Source organism: Homo sapiens, chromosome 21 (assembly GCF_000001405.40).
Source record: "Homo sapiens chromosome 21, GRCh38.p14 Primary Assembly".
NCBI lineage: Eukaryota > Metazoa > Chordata > Mammalia > Primates > Hominidae > Homo > Homo sapiens.
The window spans coordinates 45,450,749-45,467,936 of record NC_000021.9 but is presented as its reverse complement, the minus strand read 5'-3'; the positions used below and the strand labels follow the sequence as shown (position 1 = coordinate 45,467,936).

The following is a 17,188-nucleotide window of genomic DNA, read 5'->3' as shown; positions in this document are numbered from 1 at the left end:
AGGGATGGGCACAGCAGACATGGTGTCCACAGGCTTCCCCTTCCATGCTTTGAGCATTGATGGGCAGAGCCAGTGGGGAGAAGGGACCAGGGACTGGCCGGCACCCCCGCTGGGGCAAGGAGCTGTGAGGGGCTGGGGCTGGCAGCCTTCCCGCCCGGCCCTGTGCCCTGCCCGCCCACTCTGACCCTGCTGGAGCAGCCCAGGCCGGCACCCCAGCCTGGCCTCCACTGTGAAGCCACAGTTCCACCACAGGGAAGGAGGGAGGCTGACCCCACACCCCAGTGTTCTTCGAAGCCTCGGCTACGGGGCGTCGCCCAGAGTGGCTGCCTCAGCTGGGGTTCCACGTGGCATCTGAGGACACGGTGCGGGATTTCACCCAGCGCTGTCGGTCACCGGCTCACCTGCTGGGCCAGGTGCTTCATGTGGCAAGGACAAGCTGTATCTCCCCATCCCCCCCATGCTGATTCCCCTCGGGGCCACAATCACCCCTTGGAGGGGCTGCATGCCTGACGTACCTGCCAACGTGCCACAGTCTCCCCACCAGCCCCGCTGCTCCGTGCAAATGCCCCACAGCGCCGGGTGACTCACTCCACTCATTCCTGCCCAGGCGGAGCTTGACTTCACTTCGACTCAGTAGCCCAGGGTCAGAAGGAGCCCTGTCCATCCCTCGCCCAGGGAGCCCAAGCCAGGACGCAGCCCCGGTGCCCAGAGTTCTCACACCTCGTTTCCTGCCCACGGGAGGGGGGCAGCACCCACTCAAGGGCAGACCCTGCTCAGAGTGACTTCCCAGCACACCTGCCGTGCCAGGCAGAGCCCGGGCTTTGCAGCCACAGTCTGGGCCAGGGGCAGAGGGGTCCCAACGGGCTGAGCCTGGGCTCTGGGGGCCAGCGGTCACATCCCCCTCAGACAGAGGCCGCCGTCCACCCAGATGGCAGCTGTTACAATGATCGTCCATCCAGATGGCAGCTGTTACAATGATCCTTTTTCTCATAAGAAGTGCCTGGTCCCACATGTCCAAGCTGGGGCTGTGATAAGATCAGGAAACAGGACTCGGCCTGGGGGCCAGAGGCCGTGCCAGCCACCCAGCTGCCCCCGCGTTCACCTTGGAGAAACCTCCCACCACCCTTCCTAGAACATTCCGTCATTGGGAAAGCAAGATGCGGCAGCTGCCACCTTCCTGGGCTGGAGGGTACCAGCACGCTACACCGGCGGCCCCAGGGACCCCAGTGACAGCAACGCCCTTTCCAAAGCTGTCCCGTCTCCTCTCCACGAAGCTCCTGGGGGCTCCCTTCAGAAGCCAGCTTCCAAATGCCCGGCCCTAAGATGCTGGATGGGCAGAGAATGGCGCAGCCTCCACTCCCCGAGGTACAGGCCCAGCTGTCTCAGATGTCCTGGAATCAAACAGCAAATGCCTGAACCCCATTTCGAGAGCTCAGCCTTCCCGGGTGCGAGAGCTCAGCCTTCCCGGGTGCGAGAGCTCAACCTTCCTGGGTATGGTGGGGCGGCCCCTCCTGCTGGACCACCTCCCTTTGGATCAAGGTGCTTGCTTCTTTAAAGACCATTTCCCCCTCAGGAATCAGGCCAGCCAGAAGTGTGGATGGTTCTGGAGGCCTGTGTGTGTTAACAGAGGCCCCTTTAAATATGCCCAGGACAGACAGTGCAGCCAGCATCCTCCCCGCAGGAGAGCAGCGGGTACCTCTGGCTGGGACTCTCCGCTGTTCTCACACCAGTGTGGAACGTCCCCGCCCCTCCCCTTGGGTCCCTTATCTTAGGGGACCGGGGACGTCCATCCCTTCTGCAGTGGCAGCCTCTGAGCCAAAGCGCCCTCTCCCAGAAGCCGGACTTTCCAGGACCCTCACTCCCAGCCTCACCCTGACACGGCCTGACTGGGGGTCTCCTGTGAGTCCCATGCTCGGCTTTGTCTGACACCTCCCAGGACAAGACCGTCCCTTCTCCCCAAACTGGGCTCTCCACCAAGAGCCGCGTTCACCCACGGGGGAGTGGGCTCCAGACAGGCCAGTCCTCGAGGGCCACACCCAATGTCCTGCATCCCTCACGGCCACCGTGGCTCCGAAGAAAAGGGCAAACCCCTCAGAGACCCTCAGACACGTGCACTCCACGGACGCCCGCCTGTGCTCAGCATCAGGTGCTCCAGACACTCCCCAGAACCAGCCCAGCCTGACTCCTCGGGGCACAGGGCCTGGAGTCTCTGCTGCCCCTTTGAAGGGCTCCTGAGGACAAGATCCAAGGCTGCCTGGCCAGCCCCCCGCCCTCCAGCACAGCCCCCTCCAGTCCTGCAGAGCCAGGGCCGCTCGTGCCCACATGGAGTGCTCTCAGCCCACTTTCCAGGGAAAAGAGAAAATAACCACCTCAGTAAGACTCACACAGAGCTTCCGGAACCTGATCCAGAGCTTGAAGAGTGCGCCACCATCATCACTCCATCACACCATAGCACTTACGCAGTGAAGTGCCCGGGGGGACATCTTGGCATCAAAGAAAAACGGCCTCAGAACAAACACCTCCACCAAATCCCAAGGCTGCAGAGCCCCCACGGAAGGCTAAAAACAACCTAAGAAACGGGCCCCTGTCCCCGGGTGGAGACTTCCTGTTGACACTCGGACACGTTTACAACATTCAATCTCTCCACCGTCAGCGCTGACCCAAAACCCACGCCAGGCACAGGTGGGGTGGCTCAGCTGGTGTCTGATAAACAAAGGCGAGGCTGTGCGATGAACCCGCCAGTCGGGGCTGAGCAGGTGTCTGCAGGGTCATCTGTTATACAGAGAAGCAGAAATACCTGCGAGTGCTTCAGTCAGGAAGGGCTGAGGAAAAGACCAGAACAACACGAAGAGCAGAGCATCTCCCTGGAGTTATGGAGACTCCTGAGATGCAGGATAAAGGAAAGAGGAACTTTCAGACACAGGGCAATCCCATTAATGCAAAGTAAGACTCCCATGCATATGTACACATGTGCAGCCGTGCACATGGACAAACTGTGGTGGGCAGAGCCATGGCCCCAAGGATGTCCACGGCACAACAGCTGGAACCCACAAGCGTAATTTTACGTGGCAAGGGGATGCTGCAGCTGGGACTCAGGCTGTGGACCTGGAGATGGGAGATGATCCACTTCTAACCACACAAAGCCTTAAAATCGAAGGACAAAAGATGGCACCATGAGGACTTGTCCAACACCGTTGGCTTTGAAGGGGGAAGAAGGGGCTTTGAGCGAAGGGAAGCGGCAGCCTCTAGAGGCTGGAAAAGTCAAGAAAACAGATTCTCCTCCAGAGTCCCAGAGGGACCCAGCCCTGACAACACCTTGGTTTCAGCCCAGTGAACTGGTTTCAGACTCTGACCTCCAAAACTGAAAGGTAAGACAGCTGTGTTGGTTTAAGCCACTGAATTTGTGGCAATTTCTTACAGTCGCCAATAGGAAGCTACATACCTATATGCAAATTGGCACAAACCCATGGGGGGATGGACACGGTGCCCCCACCTGACCACTGCAGGTGGCCGTGGTTAGTGGGACTCAGGAGCTCTGTTCCACCCTCTCATGTGTGGCTGGAGTCTTGCCGAGGGCCTGCCTTATCTAAGAGGGTCTTTTTTGGCCCCAGGTTGGGCTGTTGACTTCTGGGACAGACTCCAGCCCACCAGGAAGATCTCATCCCCAAAATCCCATCCTGGGAAGAGGAAGAGATGAAAACGGGAGGCTTTGGAGCTCCCACCGAGGGACTACGGGATCCACCTCTGCCCCAGTGCCTGGGCACTGTGCTACTCCCGAGGGCTGGGCAACCTGGAAATGTGGTCACTCTGCCCCCGCAGATGTGTGTCTCTTCCTGAGAGCTAGAGGCTTCCATCATGGTTTGGCTCCAGCCCAGTTCTCAAAGCTCCAGCCTCTGAGCTCTGGACCCAGCCACAGTGCCCATAGGGAGTTTCTCCCCGCATTTGGCATAGCTGGGTGGCATCCAGGCTAGACACCTGCACATGATATAACAATGATGATGCCTCAAGACTTGATTTCTTTCCTTTTCTTTTTTTTTTTTAGATGGAGTTTCGCTCTTGTTGCCCAGGCTGGAGTACAGTGGTGCAATCTCAGCTCACCACAACCTCCACCTCCCAGGTTCAAGCAGTTCTCCTGCCTCAGCATCCCGAGTAGCTAGGATTACAGGCATGCACCACCATACCCAGCTAATTTTGTATTGTTAGTAGAGATGGGGTTTCTCCGTGTTGGTCAGGCTGGTCTCCAACTCCCGACCTCAGGCGATCCGCATGCCTCGGCATCCCAAAGTGCTGGGATTACAGACGTGAGCCACCATGCCTGGCCAAGACTTGATTTCTTGACAGAAAGAAACGTGTTTGAAAATGATTCTGGAGTACTCTGGTAAATGGCAGATGGAAAGCGCCAGGAATCCATCTCCCCAACTAATTAACAAGTGCATGGGCAGAATTTGTCTTAGAACTCTTTTGGAACTCTGGAGTCTACTGAAAGCTTGCAATGTCCACAGGAAGGCTTGGACGGTAACGGGTGGTTAATTTAGCTAAACCCCAGCTCTTGGCACAATAGCAGCCACACATCCATCCTCCACCCCCATTCCCATAGCAGGTGCCATGCACGAGTTCCTGGAGCAGCAGCCACACAGCTTGTGGGAAACAGGACGGCAAAAAGGACCCTGTCCTGCAGACATCGAGAACCTGTGCTCTGATCAGGTTGCCTGGGATCACAGATGTGCAGACAGGGAGGTGGGGCCATTGTTTTACACTCCCTCTGTTGTTGCAAGCTGCCCCTTCCAGCTGAAGTGACTTGAAGGGGATTTAGAGGGCTGGCACTGTTTTTTCTCCCTCATTTTTATCTTATTCCTCCTTTGGGAGCCAAACATGAAAGAACGGGACATTGAAAAACAGCAGCATGTAAGAGGAAAATTAGAAAGTGGCTGCACACACCCAGGGAAAGGGACAGGCTCAGAAAAGACCTGAGAAGACCTGAAGTTCACACCTAAGGGAGATTTCTGGCACAGACACAAAACATTTTTTAAAAAGTAACAAAAAAAAGCGAACGCTGGTGAAGGGCAAAATTCAAGAGCCACATTACTGAGTTCAAATGTTCACTTTTTAACACAAAATCACAAGGCACACAAAGCAATAAGAAAATATAGCACATTCAAAGGAGAAAAATAAATTAACAGAAGCTGTCTCTGCAAAAGACCTGATGGCAGATCTACTAGACAAAGACTTTAAAATGACTGTCTTAAAGATGCTCAAAGAACTACAGGAAGGTGTGGAGAAAGTCAAGAAAGTGATGTATGAACAACATGGAAATATCAATATAAAAACCTTGAAAGAAACCAGAAAGAAATTACAGAACTGAAAAGTACAATAGCTGAAATTGAAAACATCACTAGAGGAATCTGAAGGTGATTTGAGCAGACAAAAGAATAAATTAATGAGCTTGAAGATAAGATAATGGAAATTTTCAAAGACAAAAGATGAAAGAAAGGTGAAAAGAGCCTAAGGGGCTTGTGGCCACCATCAAGAGACAAGGAAGCATGCATGCCGTGGAAGCTGCAAACAGAAGAGAAAAAGAAAGGTGCAGAGAGACTATCTGAAGAAATAATGGCTGAAAGCTTCTCAAATTTGTTGGGAGACATGAATATAAACAGTTAAGAGCTCAGGGAACTCCAAGTAAGGTAAACTCAAAGAGACTCACACCAAGTTACATTATCATCAAACTTTCAAAAACAGAGAGAGAATCTGGAAAGCAGCAAGAGAAAAGCAACTGATCACATCCAAGGGCTTCTTAATAAGATTATCAGCAGATTTGTCACAGAAACTTTGGAAGCCAAAAGGCAGTGGACCAATATATTCAATGTACTAAAAGAAAAAAAAAACTGTTAACCAAGAGTCCTATATCCAGTAAAACTGTCCTTCAAAAGTGAGGGAGAAATTGGCATTCCCAGATAAACAAAAGCTAAGGGAGTTAATTGCCACTAGACCTGCCCTGCAGAAAATGGTCCAGGGAGTCCAGCAGGTAAAATGAAAGGACACTAGTCAATAACAGTAAGTCACATGAAGAAATGAAGATCTCAATAAAGGTAAATACATGGGCAATTATAAAAGCTGGTATTGCAACAACAGTTTGTAACTGCACTTTTTATGAATGAACCTGGAGGATATTAAACTAAAGGAAATAAGGCAGGCATAGAAGCAAATACTGCATGATCTCACATGTGGGATCTAAAAAAGTCACATTCATAGGAGCAGAGTAGAATGGTGGTTGTCAGGGGCTGAGGTCTAGGAAGGACAAATATGCGTGTGTGCCACAGATGTGGCTAGCAAGGAAGCCTCGAGGGGGGCCCAGCAGCCTGGCTCCAGACTGCTCTTCAGCATTGCAGCAGATGCAGGACAAGGAAGAGCCCTGCAGGGGGGCACCAGGAGACCAGCAGGTGTCCACCCTAATGGTGCAGGCCATCTGATAAGGGGTAGGGACTGGTGCCGGATGGACGGTGCCCATGCACAGAGTGGGGTGCAATGGGGCACAGCTGCCACCCCACTCTGTGCATAGGCAACGGGGGCCTCCTTGACTTACTGTTACTGAGTAGTGTCCTTTCATTTCGCCTGTTGGACTACTGGACCATTTCCTGCAGGGAAGGTCTAGTGGCAATTAACCCCCTTAGCTTTTGTTTATCTGGGAATGCTAACAGGGCACAGCCGAGGCCAGCCCACAGAGAAGAGGAAATGTGACTGTTGGTCGAAGGGTACAAAGTTTCAGTTATGCAGGAAAAGTAAGTTCTAGAGGTCTAATGTACACATGGTGATTACAGCTAGAATACTGTATCGCATATGGCACTTCAAACTTGAGTAGATCTTAAGTTTTCTCACCACACTCACAACGGTAACTGGTTGAAGTGATAGATGTCCACTAGCTTGACCTTAGATATATACAAAAACCCAAATATACGTAAAAGGACCTGCAGGAAGCCCTGTTTGGAGTGCTGTGCTTTTCATTCTGTCTGTGCTTAGTTCAGAATCACACAAGATCTTGTACCCACAGACAACTGCACCCAATGCACTGGGCCCTTGACACTCCAGTAGGAGTTAAATGCTGAGTCACTCTTGGTGCATCTAAGAGGCATGGAGAATTTACGAGAAGCTTAGCCAGCATCATCGAAAAAATATTTGTAGGTTGCCAAGCGGTGAGAGATAAGCATGAGTTATTTCCCAGAGTGGTCTTCTCCCTTCTTAAACCAAAGTTACATGGAAACATCAAACAAATCAAAGCATTTTAAGGAGAAGGGACATTTTCTCAAATTCTGCATTTGACTAAAGGAGCAAGAGGTAAGCACCATATAAGGACACCTGTGTGCCAGTGGCTGGCCCATGGGGTAGGGAGGAGCGATGAAGGAGCAGCCCCTCGGGGCCATCATGGTGACATGACCTTCACGTGCACTCCCGTGGCCTCCCACTGACCTCCGAATGTCCAGTGATGGGGGTGGAGGCAGAGGAAGCCCCAGCCCAGGGGCCTGTGCACCACTTTCCAAGATCACGGGACTCGTGCATTTGAGATGAGCGACTTGGCCGGCGTGTGTGTGGACCTGCCTCCCGAGCACCCCGGTGGCAGCTGTGCCCAGTTGCGCCCCACTCTGTGCACAGGCACTATCCATCCCGGCACTGGTCCCTGCCCTCATCAGATGGCCTGCACCACGAGGGTGGATGCCTGCTGGTCTCCTGGTGCTCCCCGGCTGGGAGCTTGCTTGTCCTGCATCTGCTGCGATGCTGAAGAGCGCTCTGGGGCCAGGCTGCTGGGCCCTCCTCCAGGCTCCCTCCTTGCTAGCCACACTTGCGGCACGCACACGTGTCTGTCCTTCCTAGGCCTCAGTTTCTCACCTGTAAACGGGAACAATACGCAGCTCCCAGGTCAGAGGATGCTTGCCTGTAGGACTCCTTGGAAACATCACCTGCCTCCGGTCCCAGGGGCCAGGGTTTGTGAGAGCTCAGGAGGGGTGTAGAGAGCAAAGTCCAGAGGGCCAGGCACCCGTTGCTGTTGTGGGGTGACACTCCCACAGCCCTTGTGACCTGAGCTCCATGTGTCACTCACAGAGTCCCACTGAGACAGCCCAGGGGGCTTCCTGGAGGCAGTGTCCCGGGCAGCCCAAGCCCAAGCCCCGCTCGCTCACTCTTGGCAGCTGCAGCAAGGGAGCCTCCCTACCCCACCCCGGCCCTCCCGTGTGAGGGGGCCTCACTCCCTTCCTCGTGGACCTGAGGGACAAGCCCACAACACAGCAAAACCCTCCACAGGGTCCCTGCTTGTGTGCTGACCACAGGGTTCACCCTCCCTTTGAGCGCCCCCCACGCCCCAGCACGGCTGCACTGTCCCCCACACTCTCCTCGAGGTGGGCCGGCGGGGTGGACACACAGGGCAGTGCCCAGGACGAGGTGGAGGGGGCGCTGGAGATGGAGCCGGGCAGGAGGCAGCAGGACCCCTCCAGCTCCCCTCCCCTCAGGGGCACATACTCCCTGATCCCTGGAGATGCAGCCAGGGACCTCTGTGGGCCTCGAGGGCTCTGTTCTGGTGCCCGGATCACAGCCCAGCACCCCCACTTTCGGGGCCTCGAAGTCTGCCCGAGGGGTCAGGCTGGGCTCCCCCTCCTCCTCCTGCCCCTCACCCAGGGCTGGGAGTGTCCAGCCCAACATAGGGGTCCGGCAGGAGTTGGGGCTAACCCAAGAGGAGCCTGGGCTGGGGAGGAGCTGAGAGGCCAGAAGAGGGGGCAGGACCCTCCCGGCCAGGCCACACCTGGGAAGGGGCTCCTTGATAAAGCTTGAGGCCCACCCCTGGCCAGAGGCAATGCAGGCCAGGAACGCTGATGGAGTCCCCCAGGACCCTGCACGGGACACGGCCTCCCTCGCACGGGGACGCTACCAAGCTGTCCAGATGTTCAGTGAAAAGTCCCCATCAGGCTGTGCCACCGACCGGGCCAGCTGCAGTTGCAGAAATTCCTCGCCCTCACAGCCCCACTCGGACCCCAGCCCCCAAGCCATGCAGCTGTGCCCCAACTCCCAGGAGACCGGCACCTTCCCTGAGGCTGAAGCTTGCTCACAGTGCTCAGCTGATCCCAGACAGTCTCGGGCTGGCAGGGCTAGGGCAGGGTCAGGTGTGCAGGCCTGGCGTTTCCCCTCCCACAGGCTGCAGCCCTCCCAGCCCACCGCTGTCCTGTCTGCCTCCGTGGGCTTGCAGTGGAGGACAAGGTGGGCTGTGCTGGAGCCTCCCGGGGCTCCAGGACACCGGACCCGGGTCCCTCCAGTCAGTACGGCTCCTGCAAGGCTGCCCTACCCACATGCTTGGTGGGGAACAGTAGCCAGGTGGGGTGTGGCTCCGGGGGGGTTGCCTGCAAGGCGGCTGGTGCTTGCTGGGCATTTGGGTGTTCCAGGGACGGAGGATGAGTGGGACCCAGGAATCTGGCTGCTTGTGGCAGTGCCAGCTGCCCTGGGGGTGACATCTAAGCCCTGAGATGCCAACATTCGCGGGCACAGCCCCTGCCTCAGAGAGCTCCAGCCCTATGAGATGCCAACAGCCGTGGGCACGGCCCCTGCCTCAGAGAGCTCCAGCCCTACGAGATGCCAACAGCCGTGGGCACGGTCCCTGCCTGGGAGAGCTCCAGCCCTACGAGATGCCAACAGCCGCGGGCACGGCCCCTGCCTCGGAGAGCTCCAGCCCTATGCTTCTGGGGCGCATCCACAAGGGCCCCCACTCCTGCACACACCAGGCCCCCCCAGCGCAGTTCCTGTGCCCCCCTCAGGCTCAGCCAGGCCCCGCTGCAGCCCTCCCTCCCTCCCTCCCTCCCTGCCCCTCCATTCCAGCCCACGTGGGCTTTACTCCTGGGACCACCTGTTGTCAGCACTTGTCCCTGCCCTGTCTGTGGCCCCCCGGCCACTCCCCAGGCCCCACACAGGGTCTGCAGAGGCTCTGGGCTTTGCTGAGAGAAACGGTCACTGGCCTGAAACTCAAGGGGAATCACCAAGCTCGTCATCCCTCACGGAGCCTGGTGGGTGGGCGTCCACCAGAATTTCCACTGCAGGCACCCCCACCTCCAGGTCCGGCACAGCTGCTAACCCCCACCAACCCTGTCCCAAAGCCCAAAGAGCAAACAGCAAGGCTGCTTCCCCTCGGCACTATGGGGAGGACAGCAGAGGAGGACAGAGCACCTCACCCTGCGGGGATAGGGCCTCTGGGCCAAGGCTGCCAGGTGCACATAGCAAGCAGAATCTGAATGGGGCAGGCACAGCTCAGGGGCCCCGTCTACTCCCGGACACAGAGGAGGGATCTGCTGGGGTCCTTTCTGGGCTGCCCCTGCCCCCAGGAGGTTAAAGAGTCCCCCTTTCCCTCCTCTTCCTGCCCCCAACTGTCCAGCCAGCAACAAGGCCAGGCCACACGGTGATGGGGCAACGTCCCCTGGGCCCAGAAGCGGCCCCCACTGTGGCAGGGAGGCTGTGTGCTTCAGGATGGGGAGGGGGACATGAAAGGCTCCCTCTCAGGACGGGCCCTGCAGACCTCCCTGGTCCCCACGCTGGTAGGGTCTCTGCACTGCCCACGCGGCAGCACCCTTGGCCCGAGCACGCTGGGGCTCCCAGGAAGCGCATCGAACCGTGCAGCTTAGTGACCGGAGCAAGGTCGATGCAGCCACACCTGAGCGGGAATCTCGGCTCCCTGGGGTGAGTCACGCCACTGCCCCACGCCTCAGTTTCCCCTCTGTGACTCGGGGCATGGCAGGGTATCTCGGGACCGTGCTGAGGACTAAATGCGCTAAAATGCTCAGGGAGCTCCAGGCCCAGGTGGCACCTGGACACATCGGCTGCGGTTCATCCAGCCCTCTTCCTGTCCAGACGCCGGCCTCCTCCCCACACAGGAGGCCTCACTCCCAGCTCTCCCACCTCCCGAGGGCCACGGGCCCCTGAACGTAGAGATTCGATGTGGGGGGAACCTGTACCAGGCTCACGTCAGCCCCGCCCACACTTACCTGGCAAGGCAAAAAGGAAAGGGTGGGGAGATCGGGGCCGGCCAGTTACCTGCAGCCGGCCCAATGAGCACACAGTACCCATCCTCCTGGGTCGGGAGCGAGGCACAGGCGACGGGCAGCCGGCCCCCGCCCAGGCGGCTCCAACACGCATCCTGCAGGGCCTCGCAGAACTGGCAGCAGGGTGGCGGGGCGGGCGGCGGGACGCTGCCGCATGGGGGGACCAGCAGCAGGCAGAAGAACCAGGCGAGGAAGGGGTGGCAGTGCGTCTGCAGCAGGCCCCCCCACGCCCGTGCCCCGGCCCGCACCTGCTCGCCGCTCTCGTGGTGGAGGTGGTTGGGCAGCCAGAAGCGTGAGATGCCCAGGTGGCCGCAGACTGGCAGGGAGGGTGGCAGGGGCAGGCAGCGACCGGCGGGGGCCTCGGGGTCAGCCCCGAGCAGGGCAGAGTTATTAGCAAGACCCGGCCCCACAGAGTTAGCCACGTGGGAGACCCAAGCACCGCTGTCCCTGGTTAAAGTGGTGACTGCGACCTGAGACAGTGCGCCCGGGAGCCCAGAGGAGAAGGCGGAGGGGGCCGCGTGCTTGCCCAGGGAGCCCATCACCAGGGGGTGCAGAAGTGGCGTGCGCAGGCGGACGTCAGGGCGTTGGAGCTGCTGGCTGGGAGCGGCTGCGGCGGGCGAGAGTCCTTGGCTGTCTGGGTCCTGCAGGCTTCCCCAGGGAGGGGCCCCGCCCAGCAAGGAGGAGAGAGAAGCTCTACCTGAAGATGGTGGTGGCACTGAGGGCCCCGTGAGTGGTGCCCAGGGCCTGCCCAGGGAGGGAGGCGATGGGGTGGGTGCAGGCAAGGTGCCAGCCTCGGTTGTGTGGGCGCCCGGAGAGCTAGGAATGCCACGGCTGGGCCAGAGAGTGGTCCCATTCTCCTGGGGGGTGCTGGAAGGCCCAGCGAGGGCAAGGGGGCCCACAGGAGTCTCCAGGACCAGGGTTTCCGCCCTGGCCAAGCTCTCAGTGGGGACAGTGTCATTCCACAGCTGGACGAAGCTCCGGATGCCTTTGGCCACGTTCAGGATCTCGGCTCCGACACCGGCAATGTTCTCCTCTGGCGCGTCCGGGCTCTCGGCAGAAGTGGGGGTGTCCTGGCCATCTTCCAGCAGCTCTGAGGGTGGCTCAGGGCTGCCAGGGGCTGTCGCTGGCTCTGTGGAACCATTCCGGGGGGTCACGTGTGTGGTGGTATCTGCTGTGGGCTGCACAGGCAGGGGCCCCTGGGGCTCAGGGATCGTGGTAGCTGCATGGCTGGTGTCCTCATTATTGAACCAAAGCCAGTTCAGGTTCAGCAGGTTGGCCCGGGCAGCCGCCAGGCAGCAGAAGAGCAGCAGCAGGATGTGGCAGCCACAGGGGTAGGGAGCCATCGGGGCAGTGCGGCTGGAGCTGCGGGCGGCGGGAGGGCCTCTGTGCCTGGAGGTGGGGCTAGCCAGGCTCACGCCCTCCTGCCCTCCCCTGTGCAGGCTTCCCAGCCTCTGGCCGGCTGTCTTCCACCCCCCACTCTTGCAGAAGGAAAGAAGGCACCAGCCTTGGAATCAAGGTGCCCAGCACCCGGGGGTTCCAGCACCCAAGGATTTATAACTTCTTTCCCACGGCCCTGCAGCAGCCCCAGGCTCCGTGAGGACAGAGGGTGCTGTGTGCAGTGTCCACAGGGTTCCCAACGTGCTCCGCTAGGCTCTGCCGGGGCAGGGCTGCTGAGTCTCTGGATTGGGGCTCCAAGCCAGGACCCCATCCCAGAAGCACTGAGGCAGCGGCCCCCAGCCCCTGCTCCCCCTCTGACCTGGAACGCCCAGAGGCGCCTGGCCTGGAGCCATTGTGTTGTGGGAAACTTGGAACCGAAAAAATGCTCAGCTTGCTGCAGTGCCAATTCCACTGTTGCAATGGCTGCCCAAGTCGTTAAACATCCCGGGGAGGGTCTCGAGGGGCTCAGACCCTCTCAGAGCTGCTGTGCCTCCCCTCAAAGCTGGGGCTTTACCTGCCTTGGACTGTGTCCCTCTCAGCCCTTCCTGACCTTCTGCCCAGGAGACCCAGCAGAGACGGAGCCCGGGACCAGGGCAGGAATGCATACTCCTTCCCGGCCTCAGTCTCCCCGTCCACAAAAGGATCCGGTTAGACTGGAACATTCCAGGCAGCCGGTAACCCACAGGGATGTGAGTGGCATGTGAGTGGCTGCTGTGCCCCCCCGCCAGCTGCCCAGGCACAGCAGTGGGTGCTGAGTGTGCCTTATGCCCTCTGAGGACCTGTGTGCAGCCTGGCCATCGGCCCATTTCACAGATGAAGAAAACTGAGGCATGAGCCTGGTGACCCCGCTCAAGATCACGGAGCCCATCAGAGGTGGAGCCAGGCAGTTTACACAGGCGTGCTCACTCACACACACGTTCACACATGTGCATCCTCACACGCACACACCCAGGTTTCACCCCACAATCCACCCACCCCCTCAGTGCTCTGCACGCCAGCTCCCCCAGCTGGAGTCCCTCGTCACCCTGCCTCCTCCAGGCTGTGCGGCTGGGGTTGCAGCCACCCTCCCCCAGGGCTGGGGTCAGTTAATGTGACAGCAGCTGTGACGAAACAGCCCCACAACCTGTCCCCAGCTGTCCCCAGGTCAGGACATGCTGTAGCCATCGGTCGATTGCTGTCCACAGGGCAGGGCTGGGCTGCTTGGGACCCAGCCTTGTTTCAAGCAGCTGAGTGCCACCTCCTTCTCGAGGGCAGGCGCAGGCATTCCACAAGCAAACATCTGCATGTCAGTGAGGCCGTGCTCCCAAAACGAATCCCCACACTGCTCAAACTCGTCTCAGAGATGCCCAGAGAAGTCTCTTTGCTTGAAAACTGACTGCTGCTGCTGTGATTTTATGTCTGAACACGCCTCCGGAAAGTCTCCAAACAGAAATTCCAGAGACTGCCCCCTCCTCCACCAGCGCATCTCAGGAAGGGAACTCTGTTGTGGGGGACACCCCCAGCCCCATCCCGAAGGCTCTGTGCTCAGAGGGTCACTGGCCAGCTGGGCTGGCCCTACATTCATGCCCCCCAATATACACCTCCTGGGCAGAGCCAGGCACAAGGAACTGATTACGCCTAGCAATGGAGGGAGAGCAGCTCCGGCCCTCGGGGCCACACTTGGAGGATGGTGGCAGCCCCATGGCACTGAGCACCCACCCTGCCATCTGCAGGGTGCCCAGCTCCCTCCACCCTTCCCCTGCCCACTCCATTCCTGACCCCACCCTTCCTGCCCACTGTCCAGGACTCCTCCACCTCTAAGTGCTTTGAGAGCTTCCTGTCCACCATTGGGGTTCCCTCACCTCCAAGCACCTCCACAGCATCGCACGTTTAACCTCCTGGAAATCCTAGTGCGGCTCTGCCACGGCTCCACAGCTCAGCCCCCGGGATCTGGTTCCCACCAGGAAGCACCTGGCAAGGGTGGCTACTACATAAGCCTCCTCACATCATCACTCAAACGCACGCATGTGTACGCACATGCTCACACACGAACACCCACATATGCACACATATATGTATGCTCACTCCTGCTCATGCATGAACACATGCACATGCATGCTTAGCTATGCCATATATGTCACATGTGAATACTCACATACACAAGCCCCCACACATGTACATATAAGCGTACGTGCCAGACATGAATGCTCATATGCATACACAAGCACACACATGTACATACATGCTCACATGTCACACATGAATACATGCATACACAATCACACACACATACATGCTCACACATGTCACATGTGAATACTCGCATACACAAGCCCACACACATACATAATGCTTACATGTCATACATGAATGCTCACATGCATACACAAGCTCACACATGTACATACATGCTTACATGTCACACATGAATACTCGCAATCACACACATACATATAGGCTCACATGTCACATGTGAATACTCATGCATACACAAGGTCACACATGTACATACATGCTCACATGTCACATGTGAATACTCACACACATGTACATACATGCTCACATGTCACATGTGAATACTCACATGCATACACAAGCCCCACACATACATACATGTTTACACATGTCATACATGCTCACATGCATACACAATCACATATGTACATGCATGCTCACACGTCAGTGAATACTCACATGCATACACAATCACACGTACATATATGCTCACACGTCACATGTGAATATTCATGCATACACAAACTCACATACATGCTCACACATGTCACACATGAATACATGCATACACAAGCTCACACACACATGCTTACATGTCAGATACAAATGCTCACATGCATACACAAGCCCCCACATGTACATACATGCTTACATGTGTCACATGAATGCTCACATGCATACACAATCACATATGTACATGCATGCTCACACGTCACGTGAATACACACATGCATACAGAAACACACACGTACATATATGCTCACATGTCACACGTGAGTACTCACATGCATACACAAGCTCACATATATACACACACGTCACACATGAATACATGCATACACAAGCTCACATACATGCTTACACATGTCACAGAGTGCATATGCATGCTCAGCTCTGCCATGCATGCTCACACACACACGCACACAGGCAAGCACACTCACCATGTACTTGCACTCTCAGAAAGCACCCTGGTGTTGCCCAAGTCCTGCTAGCAGCATGGCCAGGGATCCAGGCCTCCTTCCCAGCCCCTGCCCAGCTCTGTGTAAAGGGCCCGACTGTGGCTCGTTCCAGGATCTGGGTGCCCAGATGGCACCATGAGCAGTGCGGACCAGGGTTTCGGCATGGCCTCTTCCCCTTGGTGGAGGGAGCAGAGAAGCTGAGGCACAAGGAGCAGCAGTTGGCAGTTTCCCTGCGGCTCCTCGGTGCCTCCTGGGGTGAGTGCGGCCTCAGGCCTGCCAGAGACAGAGGACACACGTGTCGTCATGAGGGACCTTGGGGTCTGCAGGAAGGCAGGAACCACTTGGCTCTGATGGGGCGGCTGGGAGGCCCATGATGGAGCTCACTGGAGATGACCCCAGCCAAGGAGGAAGAGGGCCCATGGATCCCGATGGAGCAGAGTTGACAGGACAGGTGAGACCCCTCCCTGGGGGTGCGCAGGACCTGGGTGACACAGGAGAGTGCCCCAGTCTGAAGTGCCCCCACCCTATTGCCTTGAGGCCTGAGATCGACCTTCCCAGTCTGACTTCATAGAGGAAGCAGCCTTCAAATCCCACCGCCTTCCCCTCTGAGCGCTCCTGCTGCTGAGTGCAGAACGTGGCGTCCTCATTCGACTCAACAAAGGCAACGTTAACCACAAACTCCCTCAGCAAACCCCACGCAGACAAGTGCATCATCCCTGTGAAGGCCAGCGAGGAGCTGGGGAAGAGCATGGCTCGCCAACCCCGTGGGATCCCGGAAAGGCGGCACCCCACAACACAGCCACCCAGCTGTGTCCCCAGGGCCCCAGAGCCTGTGGGGCCCCTTTCTCTGGCTCTCAGTTATGACAACAGGAGGGCCAAGGGGCTCCCTTCCTGGAAGCCAAGCTGACCCAGCTGCTGGGTTGCACATCATCACAGCCTGTCCCAGTGCGTGTGGAGTTTGACCTTGGGTTGACTCCCTGCTCTATCCCTGATGAGAAAATGGGTCTCCTCTGTTGCTAGGCTACAGTGCTGTGGTACCATGGCCCCCGCTGGCCGGCCATCTGGCCAGGGCACTAGAAATGCCCGTTGGAAGCTGTAGCCATGGGCTACCCGCACGCAGCCACTCTTGTTATCATGACCTGCCCGCTCCTGAGGAGCCTGAGGCTAACAGCTCAGAACCTCACACCCCCCAGAGGACCTGCTGTCCCCCACTGGTGCCGTCCTGCAGAGTCGGGCCCTGTCTCCAGAGGTGATGGCACCGCCGGAGCAGCCACGAGGGCCCTGGAGCCTAAGCGTCCACCTGGCCTTGGTGGACCCGGGGGTGCTGTCCCACCATGGAGTGTGTGTCCTCCCTCAGCCTCTGGTGTCCGCACAGCCATCGAGGGCTCACCACTGCCACGCCAGCCACGGGCTCCAAACGTTGAAGCAGCTGGCTGTGGGGTGCAGGGTGGGCACACCGGGAGGGAGGCCTGAGATGCGGTGGGGAGGTCACATGCACTGGCTGCAGTTTCAGAG

The 17,188-nt window shown here is 57.9% G+C and overlaps 1 protein-coding gene across 3 annotated transcripts in view, besides 5 other annotated features; it reads right to left on the bottom strand.

Moving 5' to 3' along the window:
* COL18A1 (collagen type XVIII alpha 1 chain) overlaps positions 1 to 17,188 on the bottom strand; it is a 108,556-nt gene that overhangs the window by 45,784 nt on the left and 45,584 nt on the right. The window contains 1 exon segment of one of the 3 annotated variants that reach the window (NM_130444.3): positions 11,056 to 12,415. The exons of 1 other annotated variant lie outside the window; for it this stretch is intronic. In NM_130444.3, the coding sequence (NP_569711.2) occupies positions 11,056 to 12,406 (1,351 nt within the window). In that variant the 5' untranslated portion in view covers positions 12,407 to 12,415. 3 annotated transcript variants of the gene reach the window in all.
* Positions 1,547 to 2,110: an enhancer, noted in NCBI's record as "H3K4me1 hESC enhancer chr21:46885741-46886304 (GRCh37/hg19 assembly coordinates)". NCBI's record gives its function as "activates a minimal SCP1, AML or CMV promoter by ChIP-STARR-seq in naive H9 embryonic stem cells {active_cell/tissue: H9 hESC(naive)}" and the evidence as "EXISTENCE:reporter gene assay evidence [ECO:0000049][PMID:30033119]".
* Positions 2,111 to 2,675: an enhancer, noted in NCBI's record as "H3K4me1 hESC enhancer chr21:46885176-46885740 (GRCh37/hg19 assembly coordinates)". NCBI's record gives its function as "activates a minimal SCP1, AML or CMV promoter by ChIP-STARR-seq in primed H9 embryonic stem cells {active_cell/tissue: H9 hESC(primed)}" and the evidence as "EXISTENCE:reporter gene assay evidence [ECO:0000049][PMID:30033119]".
* Positions 12,468 to 13,024: an enhancer, noted in NCBI's record as "H3K4me1 hESC enhancer chr21:46874827-46875383 (GRCh37/hg19 assembly coordinates)". NCBI's record gives its function as "activates a minimal SCP1, AML or CMV promoter by ChIP-STARR-seq in primed H9 embryonic stem cells {active_cell/tissue: H9 hESC(primed)}" and the evidence as "EXISTENCE:reporter gene assay evidence [ECO:0000049][PMID:30033119]".
* Positions 15,997 to 16,496: an enhancer, noted in NCBI's record as "H3K4me1 hESC enhancer chr21:46871355-46871854 (GRCh37/hg19 assembly coordinates)". NCBI's record gives its function as "activates a minimal SCP1, AML or CMV promoter by ChIP-STARR-seq in primed H9 embryonic stem cells {active_cell/tissue: H9 hESC(primed)}" and the evidence as "EXISTENCE:reporter gene assay evidence [ECO:0000049][PMID:30033119]".
* Positions 16,497 to 16,998: an enhancer, noted in NCBI's record as "H3K4me1 hESC enhancer chr21:46870853-46871354 (GRCh37/hg19 assembly coordinates)". NCBI's record gives its function as "activates a minimal SCP1, AML or CMV promoter by ChIP-STARR-seq in primed H9 embryonic stem cells {active_cell/tissue: H9 hESC(primed)}" and the evidence as "EXISTENCE:reporter gene assay evidence [ECO:0000049][PMID:30033119]".